We start from the raw sequence: 11,513 nt of genomic DNA on the forward strand, positions 1-11,513 counted from the left end.
AACTATATAATCTTTGACAAATCTGGCAAAAACAAGCAATGGGAAAAAGACTCCCTATTCAATAAATGGTGCTGGGATAACTGGCTAGCCATATGCAGAAGATCGAAGCTGGACTTCTTCCTTACACCGTATACAAAGATCAACTCAAGATGGATTAAAGACTTCAATGTAAAACCCAAAACTATAAAAGCCCTGGAAGACAACCTAGACAATACCATCCTAGACATAGAAACAGGCAAAGATTCCATGATAAAGACACCAAAAACAATTACAACCAATGCAAATATTGACAAGTGGGATCTAATTTAACTTAAAAGCTTCTGCTCAGCAAAAGAAATTATCGATAGAGTGAAGAGACAACCTACAAACTGAGAAAACATATTTACAAACTAGGTATCTGTCAATGGTCTAATATTCAACACAAGGAACTTAAATAAATTCACAAGAGAAAAAACAAAGAGCCCTATTAAAACGTGGCCAAAGAACTGTCTATTCATGTCCTTAGCCTACTTTTTGATGGGATTGTTTGTTTTTTTTTCTTGCTAATTTGTTTGAGCTCGTTGTAGATGCTGGGTATTAGTCCTTTGTCAGATATACAGATTGTGAAGATTTTCTCCCATTCTGTGGATTGTCTGTTTACTCTGCTGACTGCGCAGAGTAAAGAGTGAAAAAGCTTTTGCAGTGAAAAAGCTCTTTAGTTTAATTAAATCCCACCTATTAATCTTTGTTTTTCTTGCATTTGCTTTTGGGTTGTTGGTCATGAAATCCTTGCCTAAGCCAATGTCTAGAAGGGTTTTTTCGATGTCATCTTCTAGAATTTTTATAGTTTCAGGTCTTAGATTTAAGTCCTTGATCCATCTCGTGTTGATTTTTGTATAAGGTGAGAGATGAAGATCCAGTTTCATTCTCCTACATGTGGCTTGCCAATTATCCCAGCACCATTTGTTGAGTAGGGTGTTCTTTCCCCACTTTGTTTTTGTTTGCTTTGTCAAAGATCAGATGGCTGTAAATATTTGGGTTAATTTCTGAGTTCTCTATTATGTGCCATTTGTCTATGTGCCTATTTTTATACCAGAACCATGCTGTTTTGGTGACTATGGTCTTATGATATAGCTTGAAATCAGGTAATGTGATGCCTTCTGATTTGTTCTTTTTGCTTAGTATTGCTTTGGCTATGTGGGCAATGTTTTGGTTCCGTATGAATTTTAGAATTTTTTTTTCTAGTTCTGTGAAGAATGATGGTGGTATTTTGATGGCAATTGCATTGAATTTATAGATTGCTTTTGGCACCATGGTCACAGACAATCTTAGAAGATACACAAATGGCCAAAAAACATATGGAAAAATGCTCAACATCACTAATAATCAGAGAAATGCAAATTACAACCATGATGCGATACCATCTTACTCCCACAAGAATGGTTATAATCAAAAAATAAAAACATAATAGATGTTGGTGTGAATGTGGTGAAAAAGGAACACTTCTACACTGCTGGTGGGAATGTAAACTAATACAATCACTATTGACAACAGTGTGGAGATTCCTTAAAGAACTAAAAGTAGAAGTACCATTTGATCCCGCAATCCCACTACTGGCTATGTACACAGTGGGAAAAAAAAGTCATTATACAAAAAAGATACTTGCACACACATATTTATAGCAGCACAATTTGCAATTGTAAAAATGTAGAACCAATCCAAATGCCCATCAATCAATGAGTGGATAAAGAAACTGTGGTGTATATGTACGATGGAATACTACTCAGCCATAAAAATGAATGAATTAATATTCTCACTTATAAGCGGGGGCTAAGCTATAAGGATGCAAAGACACAATGGACTTCGGGGACTCAGGGGAAAGGGGTGAAGGGGGTGAGGGATACAATGCTACAAATTGGGTTCAGTGTATACTGATGAGGTGATGGATGTACCAAAATTTTACAAATCACCAATAAAGAACTTATTTATGTAACCAAACACCACCTGTGGCCCCAAAACCTATGGAAATAAAAAAAAAAAGTGAGCAAAAGACATGAACACTTTTCAAAAGAATACATACATGTGACCAACCACCATATAATACAAAGCTCAATATGACTGATCATTAGAGGAATGCAAATCAAAGGCACAGTGAGACACCATCTCATACCAGTCAGAATGGCTATTACTAAAAAGTCAAAAAATAACAGATGCTGGCAAGGTTGTGGAGAAAGACAACACATACACTGTTGCTGAGAGTGTACATTGGTCCCACTGTTGTGGAAAGCAGTATGGTAATTCCTCGAAAGGGCTAAAAGCAGAACCATCACTTGACCCAGCAATATCATTGCTGGGTATATACCCAGAGGTATATAAATTATTCTATCATAAAGACACAAGCACATAAATGTTTATTGCAGCACTATTCACAATAGTAAAGACATGGAATCAACCTAAATGCCCATCGATGACAGATGGGATAAAGGTAATGTGGCAAATTTTAGAGGAAAAGTTAAATATTAAATTTGAACGCAATTGAACATGGACACAAACAATGGTCACTAAGTCCCGGAACGAGTTGTGTGAGCCCCTGGAGGCATTCATTCAGCACTGTTTCAGAGAAATAGTTATTGAAAAACGACAATTGCAAAAACAAGTTGACCTTTTTGTGTTCCTTGAGCCCAGTCAAGAAGGGCCCTCATAACTGGGCCTCATGTCAAACAACATGTTACAAAAAGAGCTAGGTTCCCGGATGGCACCGAAGCTTCATGGGACCTCTCCTTGTCTGTGCATGGACTATTGGTCAACTCTGGAGCACAGGCTGTTGCTTCCCGGTCTGGTGATGAATCCTCCATCGTCTGGTGAGTGTAAATATATATGTATGTATATATGTATATGTATATATATTATATATATGTCTTTTCCCTTCTCCCCTTCCCATTACAATTTATTATATCATTTGCTTATTAGATAATTTGCTTATTATATCTGTATTGCCATATAATTCGGATAAAGTCTGTTTACCCTTAAAAGTATTGTGTGTTTCTTTCCTTCTCTCCTCACACATTTCTCTCGCAGAACACACATATGCACCATGGAATACTATGCAGCTACATGTTCTCACTTATAAGTGAGAGCTAAATAATGAGAACTTATGAACACAAAGAAGGAAATAACAGACACTGGGGTCTACTTGAAGGCGGAGGGTGGGAGGAGGGAGAGGAGCAGAAAAGATAACTATGGGGTACTGGGCTTAATACCTGGGTTACAAAATAATCTGTATAACAAGCCCCTGTGATATGAGTTTATCTAAGTAAGAAACCTTCACATGTACCCCTGAACCTAAAATAAAAAAATTTTTAAATACTTTATGAAAGCTATAAGATCTGCTCCTTGTGTGTTTGTATGTCTATATGTGTCACATGTATGTGATAATATTTTGTAAATAAAACTCGTTCTTAAATTGTTACTAAAATAAAAATGGCTTTATAATTATCCGTTAAATATAATTAGATACTTGCTGGATTTAGCTGTGAGCTTATGTCTTTTGTTGAGAATTTCTGGATTCAGGGGGTCTTGATAAGTGTCCATGATGAAGTCTGGAGACATGTTCTCAGTGTCTAGACCAGCAGCTACAAGCCAGAATCAAGCCCAATTGGCACCTTCTTTCTTTGCTTTTCCTATTTTGCCTCCTTGCTGTTTTAGGAGGGGTTGGATCCTACAGGTATAGACTTCACAGCTCTGTCTTTAGTCCTAATGGACTCAGGCAGGCCCTGATCTTCATAGTTTGCCTGGGTGCCATGTGGCTACTTGGGATCTAGAATTACTGAGGGAAGACATTAGGGATGCTACCTGTGTCATAGTTTCAAAATTCTGTTCAGTAATTTAAAACCTTAAAGTCATGTTAAATTAAGTAACAGGTAATTATAAAATGTCTTGAGTCATTTGTAAGCTAAAATAATGAAATATTCACCATAAAAAATTAGGTCTATATACCATGACATGTTACTTGTATATGGTATAGAAAACCTAAATATCTTTAGTTCTGTTAATAAAAAATAATTTGAAGAATTATATTTCTTAAAAATTATAAAATGGTTTTTTATCTAAAAACACAAATATAAGACAGTTGAAAATTACTCTTTAGGGTTTTCACTGAAATTGGGGTTACTAAGACTTAATTAATTAACAATTCTGCATACAGGGTGTATAAAAAGCAAGATATGCTTTTCTTCTTTTTTTCTTTCTTTTTTTTTTTTTTTTTTTTTTTTTTTTTTTTTTGAGATGGAGTCTCGCTCTGTCGCCCAGGCTGGAGTGCAGTGGTGCAATCTCGGCTCACGGCAAGCTGCGCCTCCTGGGTTCATGCCATTCTCCTGCCTCAGCCTCCCGAGTAGCTGGGACTACAGGCGCCCACCACCATGCCCGGCTAATTTTTTGTATTTTTAGTAGAGATAGGGTTTCACCGTGTTAGCCAGGATGGTCTTGATCTACTGACCTTGTGATCCTCCCACCTCGGCCTCCCAAAGTGCTGGGATTACAGGCGTGAGCCACCGCACCCGGCCTTTTTTTTTTTTTGACTGAGTCTTGTTCTGTTGCCCAGGCTGGCATGCAGTAGCATGATCTCAGCTCACTGCAACCTCCGCCTCCCAGGTTCAAGTGATTCACCTGCCTTAGCCCCCCAAGTAGCTGGGATAACAGGTGCTCACCACCACACCGGGCGTATTTTTGTATTTTTAGTAGAGACAGGGTTTCACCATGTTGGCGAGGCTTGTCTCGAACCCCTGACCTCAAGTGATGCACCTGCCTTGGCCTTCCAAAGTGCTGGGATTACTGGCTTGTGAAGATATGCTTTTAATGAGAAAACTTATAAAGGTATAAAAATGTGTTTTGCTGGGTGCAGTGGCTCACGCCTGTAATCCCAGCACTTTAGGAGGCCGAGGCGGGTGGATCACCAGGTCAGGAGATGGAGACCATCCTGGCTAACACGGTGAAACCCCGTCTCTACTAAAAATACAAAAAAATTAGCCAGGCTTAGTGGCGGGCTCCTGTAGTCCCAGCTACTGGGGAGGCTGAGACAGGAGAATGGCGTCAACCCAGGAGGCGGAGCTTGCAGTGAGCCGAGATCACCCCATTGCACTCCAGCGTGGGCAACAGAGCCAGACTCCGTCTCAAAAAAAATTGTTTTAATTTTTTTTGTTTGAAGTTACTTAAAGGTTTCAAATTGAAGAAGTAAAAAATAGATAAAACTAGATAAATATAGAAAGTTGGGGGAAAATGCAAGGCATAGATTCACAAAAATCTGGGATGAAAAGATGACACATTTGATACATTTATTTATGAAGTTTTATTAAATTAACTTCAGAGGCCAGTCGCAGTGGCTCACGCCTGTAAATAAAATTTTCTTGTCAATTGTGTCTAACTATGACAATTTAAAGTCATGTCCAGTGTAAATTGCTTAATTCTGAGTTAATTTCTAAAAATTTACAAGCTTGCAAAATCCTAGAATATTGTATCTTTAAGGAGTTTCATGAAAGGATGGAAAATGTCCTGAGAAGCACTCTTGAATACAGATTTTTGAGAACTTTAGAATCATTATCATTCGAACTAGGTAAGAATTCCCAGAACTTTAATGCAGAGACTGACTGTTTTATAAAACTGCTAACCCAAGCAGAATAAAAATCAATTGAATACCAAGAAAATACTTTGCCAGATTTTCCTGCCAAGTCAGCCAGCACTAAAATTGTCTAAAGTATTTGAATGAACTCCATAGTCCAAGTCAAATTATCTATGATAATCCCTGATTAGTCAGTGCTATGCACCTAAGTTGAAGAAACAGTCCAATGTTAAGCATGGAGAACCAGAATATCTTCCTGGTCCTTCCTGAGTTCTGAAAGCTTTTCTTATTAAAAGTTCTGCATTCTGATTCTTGGGTGTGAGGGTAAAGCAAGGTGGCAGAAAGAAGGCGCCAACAATCATCCATCCTGCAAGGGCACCAGATGAACAACTATTAATATCTACATAGAAAATACATTCATAAGAACCAAAAATCAGGTGAGTACTCAAAGTACCTGGTTTTAACTTCATATCACTGAAAGAGGCACTGAAGAGAGAGAAAAAAACAGTGCTGAATCACTGGTGCCAGAATTTCCTCACCCCTGGCAGTGATGGCGTGGTGTAGAGATCAACTCTGGGTTCTGCAGGAGGGAGAACACAGCAATTGTGAGGCAAAGAACCCAGTGCTGTCCTGTTAGAGCAGAAAGGAAAACCAGACCAAAAGCTGTTAATGCCCATCCACAGAGAGATCATTTAAAGCAGCACTAGCCAGAGGGGAATCAGACTCCAGTGGTTGGAACTTGAGTGTTTGGAAACCTGGCAACTGAGGGTTCCAGCACTCTTTGTATCTAAGAAACCTTGAAAGACAGCCTAGGCCATCAGGACTGCAACTCTCAGGTGAGGCCTAGGGCTGAACTAGGCCCAGGAACAGTGGGCTGGGGTGGAGAGGGCATGCAACATACTGAGACACCAGCTGGGGCAGCCAAAGGAGTTCTGGCATTATCACTCCCCTAATACCAGGCTGCACATCTCATGGCTCCAAAAGGGACCCCATCCTTCTGCTTGAGGAGAGGAAGGAAAAGAGTAGAGAGGACTGGATACCAGCTCAGCCACAGCAAGATAGCACACTAGTCAGAGTTCTGAGGCCTCCTTTCCAGGCTCTGGCTCCTGTCTAGACATTCCTAGACATACCCTGGCCAAAAAGAAACCTGCTGCCTTGAAGGAAAGAACCCAGTGCTGGCAGCATTTACCACCTGCAAACTTAACAACCTTTGGGCCCTGAATAACCAGGAGCCATAGCCAGATACTACATCAAGGGCTTTGGGTGAGCCTCATAGTCTTGCTAGATTTAGGTGAGACTCAGCACATTACAAGCTGTGATGGCTAAAGGGCAAAACTCCTTTTGCTTGGGAAAAGCAGAGGGAAAAAGTAAAGGGGACTTTGTCTTGCCACTTAGGTACCAGCAAGGCCAGAGGTGGGTAGAACACCAAGCAAGCTTTTGGAATCCCTGATTCTAGGACTTGATTCTTGGTTGGCATGTATGGACCTGCCCAGGGCCAGTGAGGAGCCCATTGCCCTGAAAACTGCAAGTCCCAGGCCAGGCAGCATTCATCACAAGCTGACAAGAGGCTTTGGGCCTTAAGGGAACATTGGTGGTAGCCTGGCAGTACTCCTTGTGTCCTGGAGTCCTGGTGGCTACTGTGCCTTTGGAAAAGGAAAGAAGGAATAGGAAGGACTGTGTCTTGTGATTTCAATGCCAACTCAGCTGCAATGCAATAGAATGTCTGGTTTACTTCTAAAATGTTTGACTCTACTCCCTGACTTCTGAATGGCACTTCTGGACCCAGCCAGGGACTGAGAGAACTCACTGCCCTGAAGGAAAGAACATAGACATGGCTGGCTAATTGTAGAGACCAAAGGCCTTGAGTGGTTAGTACTTGAATGGGAGGATCTCTGGGAATGCCGGGTGCTGTAGGCTTTTGCCTTCCCCCTCCCTCCCTCTTTCCCCCTTTTGTCGTGCTTCACAACCTTCCCCTGACTCTGCTCCCACTTTTCCCCTCGCCTGCGGCCCCACAGCAGCCTGGGACCTCCTCGTGGGGGTGCACCACTGCAGCACCGCCAGGCAACAGCATCCCACCTCTTCCGCCTTGCTGCAGCCCCACCAGGAGCCTGGCTCCAGCTGGGGCGGGGTGGTATATGTTCCCTGAGGTGCCTGGTGTCTTCACGCTCCCGGGATGCCCAGGCAATTCAGTTTACTCATCCGGCGCCACACAACAGTTCAAGCCCAGGACAAGTGGCGGCCAGGGGCAGAGGGTCCCACAAATGCCAGCCAAAACCTCTGCTCCAGGACCTATGGGCTTCTTTCCCCAGGGGAAGGACATTGCCATTGCCAGTCACGAGGAAATCCGTCCCTGTGCACCCGGATTCCCATTGCCACCGACTTCGAGTAAACTCCAGTCCCGAGGACACGAGAGACACCCAGGCCTCAGGCCCCATGGGCACGCTCCACGCCACGGCTCCTACCAGAGGGACAGATACACTCTACAAATCTCGGGGCCCACCACACCAAGAAGACACGGAGGAGCCAACAAAAGAAGGACCATACGAAATGCACCCCCAAAGCAACCAACCAATCCAAGAAAAAATACGTCTCAGGGTTCTGTTGGCCCTCTTGCATGGGCTGCCCTGCCCCCCTGTTCTGGCCTGGCTCAAGCACCTTACCCCAGCCTGCTCGAAAGAGCCCTGTCTACCAGAGCAGAGCACTGGCCTTTCTCAGGCTCTATTGCTCTGGCTCTCTAGCTCTCTCACCCCTGTATTTCTCTTCTTCCCCCTCCATCTCGTGCTCTTTCTGTCTCTGTCTCTGTCTCTCTCTCTATTGCTGTTTGTCTCTCTCCATCCCTCTTTCCCTTGCTCTCCTTCAAGCTGTCTGTATCTTTGTGTGTGTGGTGTCTGTGTGCCCGCACGCGTGCACCCATGTGTGTCTGTGGGGGTGGGGTGGTTTTGCACGTGGTAGTGGTGGGGTGTGTCTGGCTGACAGTCAGCCTCTCTCTCCTGGGATTAGGCTGCCGGTTCTAGTGGCAGGGCGGGGCAAAGCAACACCCCCCTGCCCCCCGCCCCACTCACTTGGCCACGGGCCATGTCCTTGTCGGGACAAGCTACCCTTTAGGGACATTGTGAGAGAAAAGGCCCGCAGGCGTAGGCCGGCTGTTCCCCCCTGGGCAGCCCTGGCAGCTCTGGGTGGGTGGGGCAAGAGGGGGCCTTGCAGGAGGGGCAGCTAGGAACCAAAACAATCCCTCCAAGGCCAGGAGGAGGACAGGAGGGGATCCCAGGACCATGGGCCCAGGACCCTCACGCCTGGGAGCACAACCCGTCCTGAGTGGGTCCGATGTGGTGGAGGCTTGGGAGCTCAGGAGACTGGGGAAGGACTGGAGCGTCGGAGGAAAGGGGGCCTCCCGGAAAGCTCAAAGTCTGAGCAGGGGATGGAAAACTCTGGCGTCCCCACTCAACAGCAGGGCGGTGCTGCGGCGATCCAGTGCACGCCCTTGCCGCCGGCGATGGCGGGAGGCTCTTGGAGGCCGGAAAGCGCAGCGCAGCGGCCCACAGTGCTCCGGCGTGGAGGGGGAGAGCAGCCCGGCAGGGGGCGAGTGGCTGAGGGGTCCCTGATCCGAGCCCCGCGGCCTCCGAGTGGGGATGAAGCCTGGAGTCAGGCAGGCGTGGCTGGGCCAGGCTCTTGTGTCATCCAGGCATCACTGCCGGTGTCTATGGCCATACCACCCTGAAGGCGCCTGATCTTCTCTGGTCTGTGAAACTAAGCAGGGTGGGGCCTGGTTAGTACTTGGAAGGGAGACTGACTGGGAATACCGGGTGCTGTAGGCTTTTGGCTTCCCGCTCCCTACCTCTTTCCCTTTTTTGTCGCCCTGCTTCCCAACCACCCCCTGACTCTGCTACCCCTTTTCCACCTGCCTGCGCCCCCACCACAGCTGGAGACTTCCTCCTGGGGCTCCGCCACTGCAGCACCGCCAGGCAGCAGCATCCTACCTCTTCTACCTCACTGCAGCTCCACCAGATCCCCCACTCTAGCCAGAGCAGGGCGGGCCAGGACCAGACCCAGAAGGCGCAGGCCCAGGTTCCCTGCCATCCTGGTTGCCTTCCTGCTCCACGAACGCCCAGGCAATTCAATTCACTCATCTGGTGCCACCACAAACATCCAAGCCTGGGGAAGGGGCGGGCAGGGGCAGAGGGTCCCACAGACACCAGCCAAGACCTCCTCCAGAATGCATGGGCTGCATTTTCCAGGGAAGGACATTGCCTTCACCAGCTGTGAGGAAAACGTCCCTGTGCACCCGGATTCCCATTGCCATGGACTTCATGTAAACTCCAATCCCGAGGACATGAGAGAGACCCAGGCCTCAGGCACCATTGGCACGCTTGGCGCCATGGCTCCCGCCAGAAGGACTGGTGCATTCTACAACTCTCGGGGCCCACTGCACCAAGAGGACAGAGAGGAGCCAACAAACGAGGACCCTACGAAAACACCCCCAAAGCAACCAACAAATCCAAGAAAAAACATGTCTCAGGGCTCCGTTGATCCTCCCACATGGGCGGCCTTGAACCCCTGTTCTGGCCCGGCCCAAGAAAACTCCACACTACCTTGGTCTGCCCAAAGGGGCCCTGTCTACCAGAGCAGAGCGCTCCCACTCAAAGGCTCTCTCGCTCTCTAGCTCCCTGACCAGCTCTCTCTTATTCTCCTTCCACCTTGTGCTCTTTCTGTTGCCTTCTCTCTCTCTCCCCTCCCTGCTCTCTATTGCTGTTTCTTTCTCTCCCTACGTTTCTATGTCTCCATCCCTCTCTCCTTTGCTCTCCTTCAAGATGTCTGTGTCTTTGTGTGTCTCTCTCTGTGTGTGTGTGTGTGCCTGCACCCGTCGGCCCATGTGTGTCTGTGTGTAGGGGGTGGGTTTGCTCGTGGTGATGGTGGGATGTGTCTGGATGTCCATCAGTCTATTTTTCCTGGGGTCAGGCTGCCCACTCTATTGCCAGAGAGTGGGTGTTGCAGTTGCCATGATAGCCTCCACATGCAGTTGTGTGGATCTCGTTAATTTTCATGTAGAAAATGAGAGCGAAGCCACACAGAAAACAAACTACCGTGCATCATGGCCTGACAATGGATTCTTTCCTGCAACATGGGGAGCCTCCAATCAGTATGGCCTGTTTGGAGACTGGAAAACACTGCATCTAGACGACACTGGTTTTCCATGCTTCCCTGGAAGTGTCTAAATCCCCACAGAGCTCAGGAAACAAAGAGTCAGCATGATGACGATTTCAGAGGCCAGAGAGAAGTGAGCAACAGACACATTTGCAGAGGGCAAAGAAATGTGTAATCCAAAAATCACACTTCAGTCTCCCTGTGACTCTGTGTGCATGGGGGCATCCACGTCCCACTCTGTTGCATGGCTCAATGTGGGGATATGTCATCTGTGAACCATGGGGTTGAATAACGGACTACCACCCGAGTCTCAGCTCATTGCTCTTTGGGTAAGTAGCTCATTCCTTGGAAGACGGAATTCCTCTGAATTGCTCCAGGATGAAGAAACCCAGGCTGGCTATCTGGAGGGCCTCACTGGCGGACGTGGCTGTGGTCCCAGCCATCAGCCCACAGTGGGCGCCAAACATATTCGCAAAGTGTGGGATCCTGTTGGTCCTGGAGGCAGAAGAACGCTTTTCTCTCTGCCTTCCTTTCTCTGTTTCTTGGTCCTTTTCTCCCTTTGTCCCTCCTTCCCTCTATCCATCCCTCCCTCCCTCTGTTCTTCCCACCCTCCCTCCAAGTTGCTCTGGTTCATCCGTTTTTTCCTCCGTCCATCCGTTCTATCTTCCTTCCGTCCATCCGTTCCATCTTCCCTCGGTCTCTCCCTCCCTCTCTGTCTCCCTTCCTTTCCCCATTCATGCCTGCCAACACTCCTGCCTGGAAAGAACAGCAACCTGGT

General features: G+C 46.4%; 1 long non-coding RNA gene and 1 pseudogene across 1 annotated transcript in view; one reads left to right on the forward strand and one right to left on the reverse strand.

Moving 5' to 3' along the window:
- The window catches only part of LINC02963 (long intergenic non-protein coding RNA 2963), a 28,175-nt gene that overhangs the window by 5,373 nt on the left and 11,289 nt on the right, over positions 1-11,513 (reverse strand). The window contains exon 4 of the long non-coding RNA NR_185896.1: positions 6,048-6,173. This is a non-coding gene — a long non-coding RNA (long intergenic non-protein coding RNA 2963). The remainder of the gene's footprint in view (positions 1-6,047; positions 6,174-11,513) is intronic.
- On the forward strand, positions 9,290-9,408 carry RNA5SP357 (RNA, 5S ribosomal pseudogene 357; annotated as a pseudogene).

Source organism: Homo sapiens, chromosome 12, assembly GCF_000001405.40.
Source record: "Homo sapiens chromosome 12, GRCh38.p14 Primary Assembly".
Lineage (NCBI taxonomy): Eukaryota > Metazoa > Chordata > Mammalia > Primates > Hominidae > Homo > Homo sapiens.